Genomic DNA, 25849 nt, shown 5'->3' on the forward strand with positions numbered 1-25849 from the left:
ATGCCAGCACTTTGGGAGCCAGAGGCGGGCGGATCATGAGGTCAGGAGATCGAGGCCATCCTGGCCAATATGGTGAAACCCTGTCTCTACTAAAAATACAAAATTTAGCCAGGCGTGGTGGTGCACGCCTGTAGTCCCAGCTACTCGGAAGGCTGAGGCAGGAGAATTGCTTGAACCTTGGGGGCGGAGGTTGCAGTGAGCTGAGATTGTGCCACCGCACTCCAGCCTAGTGACAGAGCGAGACTCCGTCTCGAGAAAAAAAAAAAAAAAAAAGACTGGCTATCCCAGCTCAATAATTGACCCTGCCACACTGTACAGTCCCTCAGTTCACCCCACATAGAAGGACCCCACAGTCCTGAGCACTCATGGGGGCACCTTTTTGTAGGGAAATTCCAGATCTAGTGTTTAAATCCAGCCTCCCATTGTGGATAGCCTCACAGACACACAGCAGCCACAAGAGCTTACACAACCACTGAGCTGCCATCCATGCATGGAAGTCAAAACCACACCGTGGGCTGCAGCCCCCTGCCCACCACCCAGAGACCCCCACAATCTGCCATTTTCCCCTGTGTTTACTTACACACTGGTTCCACTATATAGCAGTAACTCCCCAAGGGCAGGGACCCTGCCTGTCGCATTGATAATTGTTTCTTAGAACCCAGCCCTGTTCCTCAGAGAAGAGCCCCTCAATCCATGATGGATGGATGGTTGGTAAGTGGACAAGCACATGATGGGTAGGTGGGTGGGCGAGTATGTTACAAGGAAGGGAGGGAGGTGGACAAGCCCCGCAAACTGTGATGTCTGATTTGCCCTTGTCATGAGGCAATGATTATATTAAAATACTGGACGAAAAACTAGAATATAAAGTTACATAAATAAACTCACAGGTTTAAAAAAAAAGATAAGGAAAACACTATAATATTGATCGTGGCATAACTTTTTAAAAAATCACTTTGTGCATTTCCCAAATGGACTACAAGTCTGTTTTATAAAGTTCATTTTTAACTGCCAACATGAAACTACATCAAGTGAACATTACTCCCTAGAGTTTTCTAGATTATGAAACACCAAGGGCCTACAGAGGAAAGAAAAATATTTGGATTAGTTTGGCTCTTAGAGTGGACTAGAGAGGGGAGGAAAAGAAAACAGGGGAGGGGAGCCCGGCCTTGGACAGTAGAAAAGGATCCTTCCAGGATCCTTGGTGGCCCCGTAATGACCAATACCTTTGCTACCTGCTATCAGCAAAAGCAACATCAGTTACCCTTCCAGATACTGGAAATCTAAAGTATTATGGGAAGTCATATTTCTTCTGGAGTAAAAGATGGTAGTTTTTTCACCCCTGGCCTATGAATGCTTCTGAAGAAAAGCAAAGAAACACAAGGACATCTTCTAACAGAAACACATGATTTGATTTGATTTTTTTGAGACAGAGTCTCACTCTGTCGCCCAGGCGGGGAATGCAATGGTGCAATCCTAGCTCACTGCAACCTCTGCCTCTTGGGTTCAAGTGATTCTCCTGCTTCAGCCTCCCAAGTAGCTGGGACTATAGGTGCCCGCCACCATGACCAGCTAATTTTTGTATTTTTAGCAGAGAGAGGGTTTCACCATGTTGGCCAGGCTGGTCTTGAACTCCTGGCCTCAGGCGATCTGCCCGCCTCGGCCTCCCAAAGTGCTGGGATTGCAGGCGTGAGCCACCGCGCCCAGCCTTTAAAACACAGGATTTTAAATTGGAATACACATTCTCTTTAAAAATCACTGCTGCTCAGACTGTCCTGGCACTGGGGCAGCCAGAATAGCATTGCACTCGCTACAGGGCGACAATGTGACATATTCATTCGCCGCCTCCACCCCTGAACTGGGGCTCTGCCACATTGGCTGTTCTCCACATGTATTCCACAGACAGGTGGGCAGCAGGGCTCAGGGCCAGCTATTTTGTAAAGACAGATAGGGAAACTGAGGTTCTGAGAGGGGCAGCAGTGCACGGGTCCCTGGGAACAGCATAGCTGAGAGCAGCCTGCGGCCTCGCCCCCTCGATCCCCTCACGCACATTCACCATGCCTCCTGGGCACTGGGCCCTGGCCAGAATGAACAAGCAGGTGAGAGGAAGGCACAGACTCTAACAAATGAGGATGTAAATGGACAACATACCCACAGGTGGGGCTGGGGGTGGGCAAGGGGAATTAGCAGCAAGGGGCAATGTGATGCCGCCTGGCTGGAAGGTCACCAGGGACACTCAGGGAGGTCCCTCTACAACAGGCTGCTGCTGCTGGGCTCCCAGAGAAGGCCCTGTTCAAAGACTCTCAAAGAGCCAGGCCTCAGAAACTTACCAAACATCAATATAGTGCAGTCACAAACACCCCAGCACGCTGCACTCTGCCAGATGCAACTTATTAACATTGTATTTGGGGCTCTGGAGTCTAGGAGGGATGCATGAATCACCAGCAGGGGGAAATTAAATGTAAAAGAAACCACACACCCACAAACTACCAGCAACCTAAAGAGCCCAACAAAAAATCAGGAAGTGCAGGGTCTTTAGGGGTGGACAGATTTGGGGTTTATCCTGCCTCCACCTGCAAAGGCTTCCCAGTGCCCTCAGACTGAATTCTCAGTTGCTTAAAAAGGCCTGTTGTCCCTAATCTCTGCCTCTAGTCTCTGAGACTGAAGGCAGCTCATCCCTCACCAGCCTCCAGAAATCTGAGTTTAACACATACAAAGTCTGGGGCCCCTGGGAGCTGTAGACAGAAAGGTTTGGCAACAGTGGGGAACTGGGATTTGCAGCTGAGGTCAAAGCCAATGTCCTGGCATGGCTGGGGTGACCAAAGGCAAGGACCTGCAGTGATAGAAGAGGCCGGAAGCAACAGCCCTGGGGACGGTGCAGTTGGGAGTAAGGGGTTGGGGGGAAGCCAGCAAATCGAGTGTTCCAGGAGGAGGCGGAGCCAGGACCCAATGCTGTGAAAGGGGAGTCCATGATGAAGACTGCACAAAACCCCCCAACAGCTTTGGCTCTCCAGATGGCTGGTCACCTCGAAGGCAGTTTCAGGGTAGTAGTGGGGGTAGTCACTGGGGAGGAGACAGTAGGTAGGAAAGAAGTGGGGGCAGAAAAGAGGATAAACGCATGCGAATTTTGAAAAAAAAAAAGATAAAAATAAAAATAGGTCTGGAGTGATGGTCATAATCTTAATAGTAATGATGGTCCATGGATATTGAATCCTTACTGCGGGTGAAGTGATGTTTAAAACACTTTGGAGGCCGGGTGTGATGGCTCATGCCTGTAATCCCAACACCTTGGGAGGCCATGATGGGAGGATCACATGAGGCCAGGAGTTCGAGACCTGCCTGGGTAAGATGGCAAAACCCCATCTCTACAAAAATTGAAAAAATTAGCTGGGCATGGTGATGCATGCCTGTAGTCCCAGCTACTAGGAAGGCTAAGATGGGAGGATCCTTTGAGCCCAAGAGGTCAAAGCTGCAGTGAGCTGTGATCGTCCCACTATACTCCAGCCTGGGTGATGGAGTGAGACCCTGACTCAGAAAACAAACAAACAAGTAACTCTGGGTTGCCAACGCCTCATTATAGTCCATACTTTCTGGACAGATTCTGTTAACATCACCATCTTGCAGATGAGGAATCTGGGGCATAATCATGTGCCGGCCACAGGGAGAGCAGAGCTCTGACTTCAGGGCTCCCCCTCTTTGTCTCTCAACTGTTACCAGCACCAGCACTGGGCTGAGCTCTGGGCAATGCAACGGCTGAGCAGGAGTAGGAGGGAAGTGTTTGGCACAGGAGGCTCCAGGCCCAATCTGCAGGCAGGAGGGAAGGAGCTGCTGGAAAGAGAAACAGAAGATGAAAGGGACTCTGGGGACGGGGTGATGAACACTCCTGGGCATGCCCTTAGCTAAGAGCCACTACACTGGGGTTTTGCTGAGAGCTTCTCAGCAGCAGAAACCTTGGGTCAAGCCCAATCCTACATAAACCTGGTAGAAGCAGAGTTGATCTAGAAGGAAGGAAAGGAAGGAGCCAGCCCCACTAACCTCACTCCCCCTACCGTGCACAGCCAATCCTGCAGCCACTAAGAGACCACCTCAGGAACATGGACACCTCAGGGCCTCCACTCACAGCGTATGCTCTCTGAGGGCTGGCTGGCTTTCTCTTCCTTTTCAATTTTCAAGTATTTGATTAACACATTCAAAACTAAAATAATTAAAATTAGCCAGAGATGCACTGTGTCTTGTGTGCACACCACTGGCTTACCACCTGATGTCCAGAGCATAAATGGGACTCCACAAATGGGTGACAGACAGGTATGGGCAACAGCTCTGAGGGGTCAACCTGGCTCCTCCTTCACCTGCTAAGTGACCCTCAGCAAGTACCTGACCCTCACAAAACCTCAGAAGTTCCAGCAGTTCCCCACCTCTTGGGACTTTAAGAGGGTTGTTTTGTTTTCTTTGGTTTTGTGTTTTGTTTTTGTTTGTTTGTTTTGAGATGGAGTCTCACTCTGTCGCCCAGGCAGGGGAGTGCAGTGGCGCGATCTTGGCTCACTGCAACCTTCGCCTCCCAGGTTCAAGTGATTCTCCTGCCTCAGCCTCCTGAGTAGCTGGGACTACAGACGCACGCCACCATGCCCAGCTAATTTTTTTGTATTTGTAGTGGAGACGGGGTTTCACCATGTTGGTCAGGCTGGTCTTGAACTCCTAATCTCGTGATCCACCCGCTTCGGCCTCCCAAAGTGCTGCGATTACAGGCATGAGCCACCCCACCTGGCCTAAGAGAGTTAAATAAGCTAGTAGTCATAAAAGTGCCCAGCACATGATAAGAGCACAATAAATGTCACCTGTCATTATTATTAATAGCATCAACAAGATTAAAAGTATGTTGGCAGGGAGAGGAAGAATCCACAGGAAAGAATTAAAGTGTCCCCATGGGAAGCACAGTGCCCTGCATGTCCCAGTGTTGTTCCCTACTAGGACTGGCCAGTGAATGCTCTGGTTTTTGCAACTGTCTCTTTAATTTTTGTACCAAAGGGAGGCAGGGCCCAGACCATGGAGGTGTGAAGCTCACGAGTTTGGCAGGCTGGGCTCATCTGGAGCCCAGTATTAATTAATTGGTGTTTATGCAACAGTATGTGCCCATCTGGCCCCGTTTCTGTCTGAATCTTGTGCTCAGAACCTTGGAGAATGCATCTCCCTCATGACTTTTCTAGACTTTGATGCCCAGACAACAGCAGATGCGGGTGTTAAAATAATAGCACCAACACTGCAACTCTAAAAGGGGAAGGTACCCTCTTGAGGACTCAAAGTTAAATTACAAATAGCTGGAAGACAATTTTTTCCAGGGCTCCTGCAGCCACTGAACGTTTCCAAGGAGAAAGACAGCACCGATTGTGAGTGAAGAGTGCCCTCTGCTGGCCGGTATTAGAAAACTTCAGTTGATTACTTCGTCCATGCCTCCCGGAGGGCTCCAGCTCCGCTGCCGGGTGGCAAGTCTCAAGTACCCTATTTAGTTCTTTTTTAAAATCTGAACTGAAAACAAAAAGTCTTCTTTTCCTAAAAGGATAAGAGATGAAAGAAAGGACAAGGTCAAGGAGCATTTTATTCCACTCCTCGCTTGCGTTTTTTTTTTGCTGGTGCACTAGAAATGGCCCTGTGGATGCTGTAGCGTGACATCTGCCTCAGAGAATACAAGTAACTTGGGGAGAGCAATCAAGTGTCCACAGGTGGCCCACAGCAGTGCCCCATTTCCATTTTAAGAGGCTGTCCTCTTGACTAGACTCCAAAGTGTACAGAGAGACACTCCGAGCCAAAACTGCTGCTTCCTTGCAGAAAACCCCAGCAGGTCTGTGCCCAGGGGGCAGGGGGCTCCTGGTGGCTGAGCAATCACAGTGGCTGAGAGCTGGCGCTGGATGGGTTGCTCTAGAATCATCCAGCCTGTGACACACGCCCAGACTCAAGCCCAGGACAGCACTCATCTGGCCTCTAGTAAGGCTGCTGCCTCCCCACAGCTGGGGCCCTCGTGGATTCCAGCCCCAGCACCACCCCTGCCCCACTCCCTAGGAACAACCCTGACTTCATCAGTGAGTTCTAACTCTCCTGGCTTTCTGCTCACTCAGACTTTACGCACGGGAGCCAACCTGGCTGAGCTTCAAACCCCTTCATCACTTCACAGCTGCAAGATGTCCCCATTGTGAACTTGACTTTCCTCCTCTGGAACAATAATGGGAGCCGCTATTTACCAAAGGTCCACTAACTGCCAGAAACTTCAAAGTAATCCTCATGACCACGCTATGGGACTGTGAGGGAGCTGATCTCCCCGAATCAAGGGCAAGAATTATTTAAAACAATGACGCTACCCAGCTTCGCTACCCAGCTTCCCAGCTTCGCTACCCAGATAAGGAAAGGCTCTGCCCCATCTACCATCTTCTTCCCTCCATTATGCAGTCTGAGTTCATCAGTTTCCATATGCAAAGTGCATTAATCAGAGGGGAGAGAAACAAGGACAGAGAGAGAAAAGAGAATACCAGAGGTGGGGTAGAAGAGGAAAGTCTTCTGGGGCAAAGCAAATGGAAGGAGAACTTTAGCAGAGTCCAGGGAAGGGCAAGAGAGGTTTCAGAACACCTGCAAGGTGGCTGGGCCATGGCTCACGCCTGTAATCCCACGACTTTGGGAGGCCAAGGCAGATGGATCACTTGAGGTCAAGAGTTCGAGACCAGCCTGGCCAATATGGTGAAACTCTGTCTCCACTAAAAATACAAAAATTACTTGGGCGTGGTGACGTGCACGTGTAATCCCAGATACACTCGGGAGGCTGAGGCAGGAGAATCACTTGAACCCGGGAGGCAGAGGTTGCAGTGAGCTGAGATCATGCCACTACCTGAGAGTAGTTTCCTAAAAGAGTTGGTATTGGTTATAAAATGGATCCCCCTTGACTATTCTTTGAGAGACACAAATAAAAAGAACTGCCTTTATTGTTAGCTAATGGATTTCAAATCTCTGAATGTAACCAAAGCCTAAGTCTGGAGGATTGTGGACTTTGCTATTTGCTTAGATTACATTACAATTTTATAGGTAAAAAAACAGGCGGAGACAGCCAGTAACTTGCTAAGGGTCACCCAGCTCATGAATGGCAGAGCTTAAATTCAACATCTCCACAACCCCAGCTCTATCTGTGAGGCTCTCTGCCTCTGAACCAGAGGAACAATAATCCTGCCTAAGGGGTCAGGTGAGGGGTGAGCGTGAGATGAGCCGTGTACACTCAGCTTTGCACAATGAATTGCACACTGTGGGTGAAGCCACAAATAACAGTCCCTTTCCTTCCCCTCCCTTTGTCCTAATCACCGAATTCTCCCTTGTTCTTAAGACCCAGTTCCTGCTTGATAACCTAGTTCTCACTGCTAGATTCCTGCCATGTCTTTTACCGCCCCAAGCCCTGTTTGGGTAACTGCCCCATTACCCTAGTCCCTCTCAGGCTGCTCACAGCTGGTCTTCCGACCCCAGACTCCTCCAGCATGAAGGCTGAGGTTCAACTTCCTAGTGGAAGGCTTTTCCTGTATTAATACCCTGGCCACTCACATGCCTGAGGATCCAACCTTTCCCCATTTGCTCATTCATTCAAGAAACAGTCACTAGTTCCTCCTTTGTGTCAGGTACTATGCTAGCCACTCAAGATAGAATGCTGTTAAAAAAAGAAAAAAAAACTGTCCCAAACTTGGAAATAAAGTATAACTTTTCAAAGTCATCTATCTACACCCCGAGTCTGCTTACAGGGAGGTTATTTTTGTTTGATTCACTATTTGCTTTTGATTAGGGCCCAGACTCTGTAAAGTTAAGTTGTTAACTTGTTAAAGATTGATAAATTTGATAAATTGCAAAAAAGAATTCTGTCAGATACAGTCTCAAAGGTTACAGTGTTATTTTCCTATGGGACATTAATCAGTTTTGTTTTGTTTTGTTTTTGAGACAGGGTCTCGCTCTGTCGCCCAGGCTGGAGTGCAGTGGCACGATCGCAGTTCACTGAAGGCTCTGCCTCCCAGGTTCAAGCAATTCTCCCACCTCCGCCTCCCGAGTAGCTGGGATTACAGGGGCATGCCACCACGAGCAGCTAACTTTTGCATTTTTAGTAGAGATGGGGTTTCACCATGTTGGCCAGGCTGGTCTCAAACTCCTGACCTCAGGTGATCCACCTGCCTCAGCCTCCCAAAGTGCTGGAATTACAGGCATGAGCCACCGCGCCCGGCCCATTAACCAGTTTTATATCTGAGTTTGCAATCTTATTCCAGCATTCTTTTTTCCATAATATTTTTCCATAATTCACTCACTCACTCTCACTCTCTCTCCCCTCCTCTCTCTGTGTGTGTGTGTGTGTGTGTGTGTGTGTGTGTGTGTGTGTGTGTTCCTGGATGGTCCTTAGAACCAGCTTTCTCATCCTCATCCTGCTAGTTCGCTCATTAATGAGTTAAATGTGTGTGTGTTCCTGGATGGTCCTTAGAACCAGCTTTCTCATCCTCATCCTGCTAGTTCGCTCATTAATGAGTTAAATAAATATTTTGCCCAGGCTAAGTATATATTTGTACAAGAGTCAGAGAAAAATGAACCTCTGTATGAGACCTGTGAAATCTGAAGAATGAAGGTGAGGAAAGCATTTCAGGCAGAGGTGGTGACACCATGTACAAAGGTCCTATGGTAGGGAGGATGGCTTTAAAAAAAAAAAAAAAAAAAAAAAAAAAAAAAAAAAAAAACAGAAAGAAGGTCATGTGGCCTCCAGCATCTGTCTCAATCAGCCCCAGCTGTACCAACATTATGAACTGACTGTCAACTTGAGTCCCTTCTGTCTGCTCCAGACACATGCAGTGGCTAAGAACACAGCATGGGAGAACTATGTTTCCTGGATCATGCCATCCTTCAGTCATCAGGGGATGAGCCAGGTAAAGGACAGTTGGTGAAGTCCTAAATTCACTGGACTCCACCCCAGGCACCAGCCTCAGCACATAGCACAGAGGACAATTACCCTCTGTGAACATGAGCTGCTCAGTGCCAGGTGCTCTCTCAACCCCAGCGCAGTCTGTGGCTTGGTCCAGCTTCCCAGTCTGCTTGTTCACTAAGTCAACATGGTTAATACCTGCACCAAGTCAATACCTGCTCAAGGAAGCTTTTTATTTTATTTTTTATTTTTTTGGAGATGGAGACTCACTCTGTTGCCTAGGCTGGAGTGCAGTGGCGCTATCTCGGCTCACTGCAACCTCTGCCGCCTGGGTTCAAGCGATTCTCCTGCCTCAGCCTCCCCAGTAGCTGGGATTACAGCTGCATGCCGCCATGCCTGGCTGATTTTTGTATTTTTAGTAGAGATGAGAGTTTCACCATATTGGCCAGTCTGGCCTCGAATTCCTGACTTCAGGCGATCTGTCTGCCTTGGCCTCCCAAAGTGCTGGAATTACAGGTGTGAGCTACCGCGCCTGGCCTCAAGGAAGCTTTTTAAATTCTACAATAGGATGATAATTTCCACTGAAAACATCATTCTACACTCAAGCCTTACTTCATCCTCCTGATTTTGCCTGTCTAAATCAACTCCTAGTTCAAGATTTGAACAGAGGTTTTTGCTCTCTTTCCTGGCATAAAGGACATTAGCAATGGGAGCAGGAAGAAGACCCCAACCAGAGGCTGATCCTTAACTATATAACTTTGTGGGGGTTTTTTGTTGTGCTTTTGTTTTTGTTTCTGAGACATGGTCTCACTCTGTTGCCCAGGCTGGAGTACAGTAGTGCGATCTTGGCTCACTGCAGCTTCGGCCTCCTGGGCTCAAGCGATCCTCCTACCTCAGCCTCTCAAGTAGCTGGGACTACAGGTGCGTTCCACGATGGCCAGCTAATTTTTAAATTTTTTGTAGAGACGGTGTCTCCCTATGTTGCCCAGGCTGATCTCATACTCCTGGGCTCAAGCAATCCTCCTGTCACAGCCTCCCAAAGTGCTGGGATTACAGGCATGAGCCACCGTGCCCAGCCTAACTTTGGATACATTGCTTAACCTTCCTGAGGTTCAGTTTCCTCATGTGGAAGGAGAAATATTCATATCTCATTAAAAGGCTCAGTGATCATGGATGAAAGCACACTGTAGGCCAGGCGCGGTGGCTCACGCCTGTAATCCCAGCACTTTGGGAGGCCAAGGTAGGTGGATGAGGTCAGAAGTTCAAGACCAGCCTGGTCAACATGGTGAAAACCCGTCTCTACTAAATATACAAAAAATTAGCCGGGCGTGGTGATGGGTGCCTGTAATCCCAGCTACTCAGGAGGCTGAGGCAGGAGAAACGCTTGAACCCGGGAGGCGGAAGTTGCAGTGAGCCGAGATCGCGCCATTGCACTCCAGCCTGGGCGACAAGAGTGAAACTTCGTCTCAAAAAAAAAAAAAAAAAAAAAGCACACTGTAGATTATAACACACAATCTAAACGTGTGTTATTTTCATAGTTGTTATGATTATCAGATGTATTTTTTGAAATCTCACAAGGCTTTGTTAAGTAAGTAAATGATACAACTCTACATGAAACTTGGGCAAAATTTCCCTACACAAATGTAAAGCCCAAAACAACTAACAAGCAAAAAGCACGGCAAGGAAACGAGGTTTAACTATAGAAGCTCTAGTACTAAAAGGCTGCCAGGTGCCATTTCTGGAGGGCTCATGTGCATCAGGCACTGTGTTGGGCACTGACCTGAATCATCCTGAGCATTAAAATATAACTTACGGAGAATTTAAGTCTCTTTTTTCAATCTGTTTGGATTTTTCAAAAGAGACTACTTTGTGGATAACATGACTATTTTTCTAAAATTATTCGCCAGAAAGGGAAAAGAGTTTCAACAGCCCTCTTGGAAAAGGGATTTCCCTTTTCCCTCTTGGAAAAGGAGTTTCCACCACCCTCGCTGAAGAGTTCATATTTTTCCATTACCATATGCCTTAATTGTCTCAAGATACTAGCAACGGTATGGATGGGTAATCTTTTCATATTTTTCTCATTAAACCTGTAACAAAACACAGTATAACTTAAAAACTTCCCACACTCCCCCGAATCCAGGACAATAGAAGAAAATACAAGATGCGGCAGGAATGATGACTGACTGATATGGTTTGGATCTGTGTCTCTGAATCTCATGTGAAACTGTGATCCCCATGTGTCAGGGGAAGGGCCTGGTGAGAGGTGACTGGACCTGGTGGTGGATTTCCCCCTTGCTGTTCTTGTGACAGTGAGTGAGTTCTCTCAGGATCTGATGGTTTAAAAGTGTGGCACGTCCCCCCTCACTCTCATTCTCTCCTGACCCCATGTAAGATGTGCCATGCCTCCTCTTTGCCTTCTGCCATGATTCTAAGTTTCCTGAGGCCTCAGGAGACTGGGCCTCAGTTCTCCTCTGGGGAACTGTTCATCAATTAAATCTCTTTTCTTTATAAATTACCCAGTCTCAGGTAGTTCTTTAATAGCAGTGTGAAAATGGACTAATACAATGGCTGGGGCACAGAGCACCAATTTTCAACTCTTTGTAAAGCAATTTATGCTCAAGGATCATAATTTTCCTCTGTGCTATGAGCTGAGGCCGGCGTCTGGGGGGTGGAGTTCAGTGAAGAGGCATCTTGTCCTTCTCAGGAATTAGGACTTTGACAACTGTCCTTTACCAAGCTCGTCCTCTGATGACTCTGATTTGTTGTATCAAAGAGTAATGTGAAATGCTAAAAAAAAGATATAAAATCTTCCAGACAGAATTCATTTTAACTTTGTTTATATGCCTTGCTGCTTCTTTAGGAATGGACTGAATGGCCATGATAAGATCAGGCAGTGAGGATCTTTGTGGCACCCAGCAAACAGGAGACATGCAATCATCATTTTTTCAATCAATCCCAAAGTGACTGGACTCAAAGAGGTATTCAAAAGTCTGACACTAGGGGGCAAAAGAGAGTAAATTTTCCGAGAGAGAGAGAGAGAGAGAGAGAGAGAGAGAGAGAGAGAGAGAGAGAGAGAATTTTTTTTAACCTGGTCTCAATTTGAGACCCCAGTAGAGAGAAACCTAAAAAATGTAAGTTGAATAGAGAGGAAACTAAAAAATATAAGTTGAAGCTAAAATTGGACATTTGAAGATTTTCTGGCAAAATTTTGATGACAAATTCAAGGCTGCCCTAAAAGTCTGAGGACTCCTTTAGTCTAGTTAGTGAGAACCTCTGTTTAAAATGGAAATAGGCTACCAGGACCGGATAACATATTAATTCCCATCAACCATTAACTCCCACCTGTGATGAGAAGTAATTCATCAGCTGAGTTATCAAAGAGCAAGGCCCTGGGGGATTGGAACACAAGGTTGGGAGCTTTCAATTGAAAGAAGGAAAAAAACACAGGTGACAGTGCCCTCCAAGCACAGCCCCCATGAGATTGCCTTTAATCCCCATCATCATCCCTTATTCTCATTTTGTAGACCTAGAGACTGGGACTCACCAACTGAAACACAGTCTTAATGACTGGCATCACCATCTGCCCCCATTTCCACTGTGGAACCCAGGGGGTCTGCTGAGCCACCCTCCCTCATTTCTGCATCCACTCTGCTTCAAACCCCCTCCTCTCCTGTCTATTCCCTATCTTAGCTCTCCCTGCACACTGCAAACGAGAAGCTTCTAAATCTCAAATATAGTTATTCCTTCCTCATCCCATTTCAAACCCTTGAAATTGCTATGGTCTGAATGTTTGTGTCTCACCAAAATTCATGGGTTGAAACCTAATCCCCCATGTGATGGTATGAGGAGGTAGGGCCTCTGGAAGGTGATTAAATGAATGGGATTAGTGCATTAATAAAAGGCCCCAGAGAGCTTCTTTCCTTTCCATCTCATGAGGACACAGTGAGAAGGCACCATCTATGAACGAGGAAATGGGCCCTCACAAGATGCTGAATCTGCTGGCACCTTGACCTTGGACTTCTCAGCCTCCAGAACTGTGAGAAATCAATAAATTTCTGTTGTTTATAAGCCACTCTCTTTATGATGTATTGCTACAGCAGCTCAAATGGACTAAGACAGCAAGGCCCCGTATCTCTTACAGAATAAAATCCAAGATAAAAAAGCACAGCTATGCAGACCCTATAGCCCAAGCTTGTGCAACCTGTGGCCCGCAGGCGGGCCCAGTACAGCTTTGAACGTGGCCCAACACAAATTCGGAAACTTTCTTAAAACATTATTATTATTATTATTATTATTTTTTTTTTTTTTTGCAATTTGCTTATTTGCTCATCAGCTGTCATTAGTGTTACTGTATTTTATGTGTGGCCCAAGACAATTATTCTTCTTCCAATGTGGCTCAGGGAAGCCAAAAGATTGAACACCCCTGCTCTAGCCATTACAACCCTCCCCACCTCACCTACCCCTCAACTCATTTCCTGGGATCCCTACCCCAGCATCCCCACACAGGGCCTCCAGCCCTGCAGAAGCACTTGCCACCAAACAGCACTGAGGCCTGCGATGCTTGGTTTCCACTGAGCAGCTCAGCCTCTGATGACCCAGCCCCAGGGCCATCTTCTCTGACAAGTCTTTCTGACCCTCATGACCTCCCTCAGGATGGACCACTCCCCCGGAGCCCCCAACTCTCAATTCAGACTTCTAGCCTGTCCACTCACATGCCCTGTGGGGAGGTCCTGCAGAGCAGGGTCCACATTTGGTCACTTCTGCCCAGTCCATGGCCTGGAAGACAGTCGGGCCCAGGGATCAGGTGGAGGGCTCTTGGTTCTTGGAAGGGGCTGGTATCAAGAGGAAGATGGCTAAGGGTGGGCAGAAAGAGATGCCAAAAGCAAACTCTGCCCCCCTAAGAGCTTAGCAGCAGGCTTGCCTGAGCAAGAAGGCCTGGGCAAAAGTGGGGTCTGGCAGCCTCTCCATAAACAGGGCTGACTCCGCGCAGATCTACCCCGGGCAGGTTGTCACAGGAACTCAGAGGAGCTGTTTGTGGGGGCTTTTTCACATCCACGTATGCCTTTGCCCTGATCAACAGAGAGACAGCCTGCGAGTACAATGAGAGGCCCCCAGTAGGAGATGACGAAGGGTAAATGATCCAAACACCTGCTCTGCACCCCTTACTTCACTGCCCTGTCATTCCCCTGTATTATCAGGAAAACTGAAAGATTTTCTATTTTCACTCCTCCAGGGCCTCCACATTCCAATTCTAGAATTCCTGGAAGATGCTTCAGCAAGAACTCATAAAACTTTCACAATTCCAAAGTCACACTTCTCATGAACGTGTGTACAGTTGAAGGCAACGTCACATGCAAGCTCTTCTGGCCTCTGTTTCCTCATCTGCAAAATGAGGCGGACAAGACTTAATTAACTTTGATGTCCTGCAACTACAAGGTATAATGTACAGTTGGGTTTTTAAGGTTCTCAAAGTTATTTATGCAAACACTGAATCAGTAACATCGCAAACTGCTGCTCGCTTCCCAGTGCCAAATTTTTACAGTCAGCCAAGGCTTCCTGCATAGAGACAATTGAAAAACAATCACTCTTTTATTCAATCCACACAAACACACAAAAGAAAATGGTCCAAACTCTCTCTGCACACACACAAAAAAACTAACCAGGGAAATCAAACAGAAAGAGGCCCTCCACTCACTCATTTGGCAAAGCTATTACTTGGTATCAGATACTGTTGAATATTTACAAAGATTAACACTCATTAAATAGGACCAGGAAGGTGGCTTGGCTCCTTCTCTTCCCGGTCATCCTGACTTTTTTTTTTTTTTTCCTTCCCTGCAGCCAAGAGCAACACTGGCTGGACCTTGGTTCACTTCCCTACTTTCCTTGCTATGGGGACCCCAGGCACAATGACTGAGTCCAGAAACATGAATGGTGCTATGAGCTCCTTCATGACCTCAGCAGTCATCTGGGGGTGCCACAGCTGAGCCCTCAGCCCGAGCCCTCCTGCCCAGGGACTTCACAGACCACTCCTCAAACTGCCTTCCCAAACACCACAGAAAGCCAAGTGGCCATTTGGGTTTTCTTGGTTTGACTTTTAATGCAAGCTGTCTCAAGAAATGATAGATTCAAACACAGCTGTCCTTCCTCCTTTCCCCCTACTGTGGAATTGGCCATTTCAGGATCCAAAGGAAGGTATGTCCACATGTTTATGCCCACAGGCACACAGAGTCCTAACCTCAGCAGATACCCTGAAGCAGATCCCATGTCCACCTTTAAGCACGTTTTGCTGTTCTGGGCCCTCACAGTGTTTTATGTACACTCCATATGAGAAGAACCCCATTGAACTTTATTATTACCAAGAAGTCATCAGGTTGAAATTCTTGATTATTCATGATGGGAGCTTGGCATTAGTTCAGCCAACAGATAAAGTAGTAAGAATTTTCAAGAGGTTTTTGTTGTTGTTGTTGTTTTGAGATAGAGTCTTGCTCTGTCGCTCACGCTGGAGTGCAGTGGTGTGATCTCGGCTCACTGCAACCTCTGCCTCCCGGGTTCAAGTGATTCTCTTGCCTCTCCTGCCTCAGCCTCCTGAGTAGCTGGGACTACAGGTGCCATGCCCAGCTAATTTTTATCTTCTTAGTAGAGATGGGTTTCACCATGTTGGCCAGACTGGTCTCGAACTACTTACCTCAAGTGATCCGCCCACCTCGGCCTCCCAAAGTTCTGAGATTACAAGCATGAGCCACCACACCCGGATGAGCTATTTTTTAATCATACACTTATCTAAGACATTTAACTTATCACAAATCATTCTTGCCTACTCATCAAATCAATTACTATGAAAAATACTATTAAAGAACACACTGTCTTAATTCCAAATATAACCTTCGTGAAGTGGGAAGAAATAAAACTTTATTTTTTAATATTTTAGCAAATATTTTCCAGGCTCACACTGTAATCCCAACAGTTTGGGAGGCCAAGGCAGGAGGATTGCTTGAAGCCAGGAGCTTCAGATCAGCTTGGGCAATATAGCCAGACCCCATCTCTACAAAAATTAGTTAGATGTGATGGTGCACACTTGTAGTTCCAGCTACTTGGGAGGATGAAGCAGCAGGATTGCTTGAGTCCAAGAATTCCAGGCTACACTGAGCTATGATTGCACAACTACACTCCAGCCTTGGAAAAAGAGTGAGACCTCATCCCCAAAACAAGAAAAATTTTCTGCTCATATTGCCCTTCCTCTAGTCAACTAAAAATAAGAGATCTTTACTGAAGAGAACATAGTAGGCATGTAATTATGACAGTGAGAGATCACTATGTAGGGAATGCTTAAACCATAGGAAACAAGTCCTGTTTTGCTCCATATGCTTGAACCCTGACTCTATCATATACTAGCTGTGTGGCCTTGGGCAAATGACTTAACCCCTCTGAGCCTCTGCTTCCTCAGCCATAAAATGAGACTAATAGGCAGCATCTGTATCCTAGGCTGATTGTGAGGAATCAATGAGAAAAGCCTGCAAATGCTTGCCCGAGTGCCTGGCATATGGTAAGGGCTCGATAAATGTTAGCTATTGTCATAGTGAATGTTATTTTCACTTCTCTACAAAGAGCGCCCCACGTATCTTCAGAAATGACTTCTCAGTGCATCACATACACTCTTACAATAACCAGTGAGAGGCAGATTTATTGTAAAGTCCTTTTTTTAGAGGGTAACTCCCACACACACACACACACACACACACACACACACCTTAAGCATCAGGCCCCACAAAACCTGGATCCTTCCCTGATCATAGGTAACAACTGATGCTCACTGTACATCCCTCCCCAGTCAAATTCCTCTCCATGTCCTCCCTTTTGATGTGGTGTCAATCACCCCCATTTGTATTTTTTACCTTTACTACATTATTATTATTATTATTATTACTACTATTATTATTATTTGTGTGCATGTGTGTGAGACGGAGTCTCACTCTGTCGCCCAGGCTGAAGTGCAGTGGCACAATTCGGCTCACTGCAACCTCTGCCTCCCGGGTTCAAGTGATTCTCCTGCCTCAGGCTCCAGAGTAGCTGGGACTACAGGCACACGCCTCCTTGCCTGGCAAATTTTTGTATTTTTAGTAGAGATGGGGTTTCGCCATGTTGGCCAGGCTGGTCTCGAACTCCTGACCTCAAGTGATCCACCCGACTCAGCCTCCCAAAGTGCTGGGATTACAGGCATGAGCCACCATGCCCAGCCACTACTACCTTATTATTTAACTGTAAGTAACAGAAGTGTTTCTACATGTAAACTTTATGTAAATGGAATCATACTATATTATACCTATATAACCTTCTGCAATTTTATTTTTTAATTTTTTTTTAGAGACAGGGTCTTGCTTTGTTGCCCAGGCTAGAGTGCAGTGGCACTATCATAAGTCACTGCAGCCTCAAATCCCTGGGCTCAAGCAATCCTCCCACCTGAGCCTCCCAAGTAGCTGGAACTACAGGCATGCACCACAATGCCTGGCTAAATTTTAATTTTTTTGTAGAGATGGAGTCTTGCTATGTTGCCCAGGCTGGTCTTGAACCCCTGGCCTCAAGCAATCCACCTGCTTCAGCCTTTCAAAGGGTTGGGATTATGGGCATGAGCCACTGTGCCAGGTCCTTCTGCAAATTTGTATTTGAAATGTTATACATTTTAGACTTATCCACGTTGATGCATGCAGGTGATAACTGCTCTATAGTACTTGATTATATGGATATAAGCTCAATTAATTTACGCATTCTCCTGTGGATGAACATTTAGGTGTTCAGAGTTTTTTGCCATTTGTACAAACAACGCTTCAATAAGCATGCAGCCATTCTTGTTCTAGGGAATCACGACAGATGCTGATGCATCCTTTTGTCCTTTTTAACAGAACTCAACACGTTCCCAAGTTGCAATTCAACATTCTTACCTTCCCAGACCCCCTGTAGCTACAGAGCTTCAGTTCTGGCCAAATATGTAAACAGAAATCTGCTGGGATTCCTGAAAGACTTTGTTTTCCTGATACAGTGCAGGCCTTCCCTTCTCCTTCCTTCTTCCTGCTGGAACGTGGACATGAGGGCAGGAGATGAGCAGCCATAGTGCAAACATAAGGCAAAGCCTCACCAAGGGGATGGCGGAGTGAAAAGAAGGCTTGAACTGTAGCCAACTGAATTATTTAGGTGCCAAATTAACCTCCTCCTGCCTTCAACACCATTTATGTATCATTCCACAAAGGAATAGAAGATATTTCCTCACAAAAGATGAGTCAGTTTTGTAGTCTCGTCTTAAATCCTAAAACCCAAAGTGAGATAGTTTTTTTTTTTTTTGTTTTTTGTTTTGAGACGGAGTCTCACTCTGTTGCCCAGGCTGGAGTGCAGTGGCGTGATCTCGGCTCACTGCAAGCTCCGCTTCCCGGGTTCACGCCATTCTCCTGCCTCAGCCTCCTGAGTAGCTGGGACTACAGGCGCCCACCACCGTGCCTGGCTAATTTTTTGTATTTTTAGTAGAGACAGGGTTTCACCATGGTCTCGATCTCCTGACCTCGTGATCTGCCTGCCTCGGCCTCCCAAAGTGTTGGGATTACAGGCGTGAGCCACCGGGCCCGGCTGACATAGTATTTTTAAAAAAACTTTTACTATAAGGATGAAGTATCATTAGTCAGTAGTATCAGTTCTTAAGTATCAGCAGTCAGAAGAACCAAATTGGAAGATGGAATATGCATTCACACAATTTCTGAGTGCTTATTAAGGGTAGAATAATGGTAATAATAAAATATAGTACTCAAAATGCACTTATTATATGCCAGGCACTGTTCTAAGCACTATATATATATATATATGCCAGGCACTGTTCTAAGCACTATATATATATATATGTTATATATATATATATATGTTATATATATATATATGTTATATATGTATGTTATATATGTAATATATGTTATGTTATATATATGTTATATGTATGTTATATGTGTTATATATATGTAATATATATACTTTGAGTTCAGGGGTACATGTGGGGGGTTGTTACATAGGTAAACGTGTGTGTCATGGGGGTTTGTCACACACATTATTTCGTCACCCAGGAATTAAGCCTAGTACCTATTGCTATTTAGCACTTCATATATTATTTCAATTATGCCTTAGAAGAAGAAGTTCTATTTCTTTTCTTTTTTTTTTTTTTTGAGACAGAGTCTTGCTCTGTCACCAGGCTGGAGTGCAGTGGCGCAATCTTGGCTCACTGCAACCTCCACCTCCCGGGTTCAAGCGATTCTCCTGCCTCAGCTTCCTGAGTAGCTGGGACTACAGGCGCACGCCACCACGCCCGGCTAATTTTTTGTATTTTAGTAGAGACGGGGTTTCATCATGTTGGCCAGGCTCCGTCTCCTGACCTCAGGTGATCCCACCCACCTCGGCCTCCCAAAGTGCTGGGATTACAGGCGTGAGCCACTGTGCCCAGGAAGTTCTATTTCTATCCCCATATTAGATGAGGAAGCTCCTTAAAAAGAAATTAAAGGCCGGGCGCAGTGGCTCACGCTTATAATCCCAGCTCTTTGGGAGGCAGAGGCGGGCGGATCACGAGGTCAAGAGATTGAGACCATCTTGGCCAACATGGTGAAACCCTGTCTCTACTAAAACACAAAAATTACCTGGGTGTGGCGGCGCACTCCTGTAGTCCCAGCTACTCGGGAGGCTAAGGCAGGAGAATCGCTTGAACCCGGGAGGTGGAGGTTTCAGGGAGCTGAGATCGCACCGCTGCTCTCCAGCCTGGCAACGAAGCGAGACGCCGTCTCAAAAAAAAAAAAAAAAAAAAAAAAAAGTTAAATAACTTGCCAATATCACCAAGCTCATGAGTGACTGAGCTAGGACCTGACTCCAGGCAGGCTGGCACCCAAGGCTGTGAGCTTAGCACTACAGGGTATGAGTCCATGTGGTGGGCTGAATAATGGCCCCCAAAAGATGTCCCCATCCTAATTCCCAAAACCTAAGACTTTTTTACCTTACATGGCAGAAGGCATTTTGCAGATCTGATTATGTTAAGGATCTTGAGATGGGGTGTATCGTGGATTCTCCAGGTGGGCCCAATGTGGTCAAAAGGGACCCTCTGACAGGGAAGCAAGAAGGTCCGAGCAGTAGTAGGAGATGTGATCATGGAAGCAGAGGTCAGAGTCATGCCAGGAAGGGGCCAGGAGCCAAGGAATGCAGGCTGCCTCTAGAAGCTGGAAAAGCCAGGAAACCGATCCTTCCCTATGGCCTCCAGAAGGAGCCAAGCCTGCTGGCATCTGGACTCCAGCCCAGTGAGACTGCATGGAGACTTCTGATCTCCAGAACTGTAAAATGATCAATGTGTGTTGTTTGAAATTGCCAGATTTGTGGTAATTTGTTACAGCAGCCACTGGAAACTACCACAGTCAATGACCCTGACCCCAGTCCTTGCCCTCAAGGAGCTCATTCATCCAGAGGGAGGCAGAGAAGCTACCACCTGCTCCTAAAGACTGGATGGAATATGGGCCCCAGCCGTGCCCAGTGAGGTGCTGTGCGAACCTGAGGGAAGGTGTTCGGTCCACACACACAGGACCCTGACCTTCCCAGCAGAATGTCCTCGTCAGCCACAACTGGTTACAAAACCCAGGGAGATAATGACAGTCTGGAGCCACTTATTTGCAGATGTTTCAGTGGATTCATTTTCTAATAGATCCGCCCTGATAACGTGTCCACATTTGCAAGAGATAAAAAGCTGGCAAGGGAGACAGCAACACCCTCGGGGCTTCCTTCCTGGAATCCTTCAGTGGCTCGTCTGCATTTACCAGCCAGGTTTTCCTTCTGTTCTCTTCAGTTCCTCACCGCACCTTCAGACAGCTGATGCCCGACATTTCCTTTCTGTCTGGCCAAGGCCAGGCACATAAGCAGATTATTCTCATGTAAGAGAGGCAGCAGCATCTTCAATCTACAGATCCCCTTTCAAGTAAACTGGCCCCAGCATGCACTGATCTTAAACAACATGTCACAGAGTCTTACCCCAGCTTGTCCAAGCAAACTGAGATTTCATTACATGCCTAGACAATAATAGTTTATGCAGCCGGCGCAGTGGCTCATGCCTGTAATCCAGCACTTTGGAAGGCTGAGGCGGGAGGATTGCTTGAGGCAAGGAGTTCAAGACCAGCCTAGGCAACATAGTGAGACCCTGTCTCCGTTCTAAAAATTAGCCAGGCATGGTGCTATACACCTGTAGTCCCAGCTACTCAGGAGGCTGAGACAGGTGGATCACTTGAGCCCAGGAGTTTGAGGCTGCAGTGAGCTGAGATTGTGCCACTGCAGTCCAGCCTGAGTGACAGAGCAAGACTCCATTTTAAAAATAAATAAATATATATATATATATATAGCTCTGTAATCCCTGAAATAAATGGAGGTACAAAAAAGGAAAGTCTTCCTCTTTATAGATGCTTTCTTAGAATCTGCAAGGGATCTCAGCCCTTGCTAAAATGTAGACTATAAGGCCAAAATTATAAGCTACAATGATTCTACTAGGCACCTCCTAGGTGAACAACAGCTTCAGAATTTGAGAGATTTGAGAGATGGGAATGGGAACGTCCAGGAATAGCTAAAAGAAATGACAGCATTTATTGAGTACTTAATCTTATCATAATACTTACCATAATACTACATCCTAGGTACTAACATTTATCCCCTTTTACAGATGAGGAAATTGAGGCACAGAGCATAAAGTAGCTTGCCCACGAACCACAGTTAGTAAGTAGTGGAGCAGAATGAGAGCCCAGGGAGGCAAACTCAACAGTAGAAATGTCTGTGGCAACCCATCTCAGTGCCACCTGTCCCCACTGCCACACAGTCAAATCAAACAAGGGAGAAAGGAGTGTTGCCAATGAGAACTGGATTTTTTTGTGCAACGGGGCAATCTCAACATGAATCACAGACTCACTGGAAGTCCTCTAAACAAGCCTAGCATTTCAGTTGCTGTGACAGCCTGCCCATCCTGCTCCCTATCGGGAGGGGTTCCTGCCATCTCTGTCTATAGACCTCACTCATCCATGTCTGGCGCTGAGGGTCAGGACCTGGAGCTGTAAACTGGGTCCTTGAAGGAGTGACGGCATCACTTCCATAAAGCTCCGTTCTCTAATATGTAAAAAGCAGAGAATAATGTTTGCTGGGCACCCGGCAGAGGGCCTCCCTTCTGTACCATAACTCAGCATAGAAAGGGAAGGTTACATGCCCTGGAACAAAAATACCCCTCAGATTTGCCAAACGCTTTCTAGTGTTCAAAGTTTTTTACGTATGCGATCTCCTCTGGGATAAATCAATATTATTTCTTGTTAGGATATGATGAGCACCTATTAGAAGTGACAAACGCATATGACAACATACAGCCTTCAAGCCTATAATTAACTTACCTGTAACACTGCACCCACATAAAGCCTGATGGCCCCATAACTGTAAATAAAGCTATCCCTAGCACCTGGCACACAGTTGGTGGCTTAATCAATGTTGAATGAATATTGGATAACCAGGAACCACTTTTAATAGGATCTGCCATGTTCCCTGTTCCCTGGAGCCACATAAAGCAAGTGTATATATAGAAACCATCCCAGTCATGCATTAAAGTAACGTGAGAGCAAATCACTGAGAAGCCAAGTTCTGCCACACCTGCCAGGGGAGCTCCCAGCTGTCGATGCCAATGACCAGCGTGAGGTATCTGGAGAACCACTACACCGACAAGATAGATTTCAGTTGTTTTCAAACAAGCCATCAAAGTGGCTAATGGCTTCCCTCAAAGAAACCCCACACCTTCAGCCAACAGACAAGGAACTCATTAGGCGGAGCTCCCCGCTCCGATCTCCACTGTCCACAAGCTTCTTCCAAGCCGTTAGGAAAACAGCTCCCCAGAGCCCACATGCTGACAGGCAGCATCCGGGGTGATCAGATTTCTATCAGTAAAGACACATGGCATTTCTCTCTGGCTCCAGTTCAGAATCTCACCCCACCCACCCCCAACAGGCAGATCGTAGCTTTTCATAGGTCCTAAATAATCCGGCCTTTAAGAAAATGCTCGTGTATCAGTGACACACACAACATCACCAACACAGTCACTCGTTCAATGTGCTGCCTGCTCTCGACACCCCCCCAAACACGGTCACACTTTCTCATGCCCGCCTGGAAATCCATCTCCATCAGAACCAATGAACCAGCATCTCCCTTGGGCCCTAAGCGCCACAGGAGTCTCCCTCCTGACATTCAGAGAACAACCCTCCCTGGCTGAGTTTTCCCAAAGCTGGATGGCACAACCCTGCTTAGGGATCTTTAAGCCCAAAACTCCTGACCCAACATCCAAGTGATATTCCACTGACACACGGTGAGAATTTGGGCTGCTGGTTCTGCCCGTGGAGGGGCCACAGGGGGCGCTCCTGGGGCGATGGTCACACTGTGCTCCTCACTCTGGGTGCTGACTATTAAGGTGTGCTCAGCATGTGAAACCCAGCAAGGTGTACAGTTACTTGTGCACTTTTGTTTTTATGTTATTCATCCATAAAGAATTAATAAATAAGGTGCTGACTCACATGAATTCTCAGTTTGTTCTGGAATCTTAGGAGTCGAAGGTGGGGGGGTCAATAACACCATACTTCAGCCACATAAATCAGACTTTCTCAATAGCCTGAAAAACCAGTTGTTCCTGCCATTGATTGCGCTGGTTCCAGAAACACCTCCAACAGCCCTGAAGGAAAGACAGCCATGAAACAGTCACCACTGCACGTGCCTTCTGCTGAGGCTGAGCTGGAATTGATTTTGTTTATTCCAAAATCAGGCTTGGAAAGTGAGAATTTGGTCTTCCAGGTGAAAACAGGCAGGCATCTTGGTTTTCTGCAGAACCTCCTATTTTTAAAATTGGGTTGCTCACAGGGGATGGATGCTTTGACCCGAACACACAATGTTTTTCAAAAACAGAGGCCATGCCTGCAGTGTTGCGCCCGCCCCTCCACATTTACCACCACACTCAGCCTCTTCCTAGCCGACCAGGGACGGGTGAGTTCCGGGAACTCTGCTGCTCATGAGTCACCCTCCAGGGGCCTGACAACTGCTCCTGGATCCTGATCAGTTTTCTTCAAGAGACTGGCTTTGGTGTTTAGGGCTCACGCTGCAATAGCTTGCAAAAATAAAACTTCTCTCCTTATTACGAGCAGAGTGAGCAAGCACATGAGAACACAAGAATCAAACCCTGCCCCTCTCCTCCTGCATAACAGGAAACATTCATTTCTGAGCCCCTAGGTCAGGCTATCATTTGGCAGCTCAACTATTTTAGCAAAGGCAAGTTTCTCATCACCTTTTCCCGGCAGGGCTGCTTAGCTGGGCACCTTGGGTTTGTGCCATGGTCCAGGGGCAGTCTGGACTTTCCTGGCCAGAGGACAAAGCTGGATTGGCCTAACACCACGAGAATTTTTCTAGCCTGCTTTGTGCTCTGCTGAGATCTCCAAAATATATTAACCGTGTAGATCCTTGGGCAGAAAATTCTCTGTTGAGCCACGCTACATGTACTTTCCTAGAACAGATCAAACTTCAGCAAAATTAAATCTGTGAGCTTTTCAGTATGATTAATCCCTAGGAGGTGGCCCTGCCAAGAATAGCCTTGTCTGGAAACGTGTGAGCCTTTTTGGCTCAACCGAGAATGAAGACCACGCTCACGCTTCCTGGGGCTCCTGTGGTCACTCTGCTAGCTCCACAGAGCAGTTTGGATGACCCCTTTACCTGCAATAAAACTCCACGTAACAGCCCGCTTGCCAAACAGAAACACACTGTCTGGATGGAATTGGAAGAAATAGATCTGCAGTGGGAGCTCCAGAGAGCTGGATTCCACGGACAAGCCTTTTTTTTTTTTGAGACAGAGACTCACTCTGTTACCCAGGCTGGAGCGCAGTAGCGTGATCTTGGCTCACAGCAACTTCTGTCTCCCAGGTTCAAGCAATTCTCCTGCCTCAGCCTCCCAAGTAGCTGGGATTATAGGCAATTACACCCAGCTAATTTTTGTTATGTTTAGTAGAGACGGGGTTTCTCCATGTTGGCCAGGCCGGTCTTGAACTCCTGGCCTCATCTGATCCACCCACCTCAGCCTCCCAAAGTGCTGGGATTACAGGCATGAGTCACTGTACCAGGCCCTGTCATTTTTCTCTGGACCTCTGTTTCCGCATCTGTAAACCCTAGGGGCACAAGCACAGCATCTCTCAAGTCCCTTGCAAGCTGGTGGATTTTCAATTCCAGCTCAAAAATATATTTAAAAGAATTTTTTTCAATGAATTGCCAACATTTCAAAGTCCAGATGGCTCTCATGAGAATTGGGAAGTTTTACATTAAGATTCCAATTTCTACATGATCTTGGGAAATTGGCAGATCTGGCCCCATGGGCTAGCATTCTCAACAGGAGGCAGGAACCAGGATGGGCCATGAGTTCCTGGGAAACAGAATGCATGGCCCAAGCCATTGCTCTCATTTTCATGATGGGCTGGCCCTGTGAGCCTCAAGTTTGAGGCTCCCATTCTGAGGTCCGGCTCCTCCCCACCCCTGCCCTTTAACATATTGCTTAAACTTTTTCACTTTTCATTTCAGCTGAACGCTCAAGAATGAACTATGAAATCAAAATTTTTTATTTAAAAAAAATAGTACCAAAAAATCTGTTAAGTGGAGATCCACCAACTTGGGGCCTATCCCCCAGCCTGCCTGCAATTCTGACACTGCTCATGCAAGGAACCTAGAGCTACTTCTAAAGTTCCCCGGACCCTCTGACCTCTATGGGCTGTCTCGCACAACCCGCCACCCCTTATCCCAGTCCCTCAGCCCCTCAGCCAAGAATCCATGTTTGGGACCCATGACAGTGAGGCTAGAGGCGGGTGGATCTCTGAGCGGGGTGGTAGCTACATC

The 25849-nt window shown here is 46.8% G+C and overlaps 1 protein-coding gene across 12 annotated transcripts in view, besides 2 other annotated features; it reads right to left on the reverse strand.

The window, feature by feature from the left end:
- Positions 1 to 25849, reverse strand: part of ARHGEF3 (Rho guanine nucleotide exchange factor 3) — a 351849-nt gene that overhangs the window by 256263 nt on the left and 69737 nt on the right. For 3 of the 12 annotated variants that reach the window (NM_001377410.1, NM_001377409.1, NM_001377408.1), the window contains one exon: positions 23500 to 23654. The exons of the other annotated variants lie outside the window; for them this stretch is intronic. In NM_001377410.1, the coding sequence (NP_001364339.1) occupies positions 23500 to 23501 (2 nt within the window). In that variant the 5' untranslated portion in view covers positions 23502 to 23654. The remainder of the gene's footprint in view (positions 1 to 23499; positions 23655 to 25849) is intronic. 12 annotated transcript variants of the gene reach the window in all.
- Positions 22812 to 23343: an enhancer, noted in NCBI's record as "H3K27ac-H3K4me1 hESC enhancer chr3:57040522-57041053 (GRCh37/hg19 assembly coordinates)". NCBI's record gives its function as "activates a minimal SCP1, AML or CMV promoter by ChIP-STARR-seq in naive H9 embryonic stem cells {active_cell/tissue: H9 hESC(naive)}" and the evidence as "EXISTENCE:reporter gene assay evidence [ECO:0000049][PMID:30033119]".
- Positions 23899 to 24193: an enhancer, noted in NCBI's record as "tiled region #6639; K562 Activating DNase unmatched - State 5:Enh, and HepG2 Activating non-DNase unmatched - State 23:Low". NCBI's record gives its function as "activates a minimal TATA promoter and a strong SV40 promoter by Sharpr-MPRA in K562 cells, with weak activation in HepG2 cells {active_cell/tissue: HepG2 | K562}" and the evidence as "EXISTENCE:reporter gene assay evidence [ECO:0000049][PMID:27701403]".

Source organism: Homo sapiens, chromosome 3 (genome assembly GCF_000001405.40).
Source record: "Homo sapiens chromosome 3, GRCh38.p14 Primary Assembly".
In the NCBI taxonomy this organism is placed as follows: domain Eukaryota; kingdom Metazoa; phylum Chordata; class Mammalia; order Primates; family Hominidae; genus Homo; species Homo sapiens.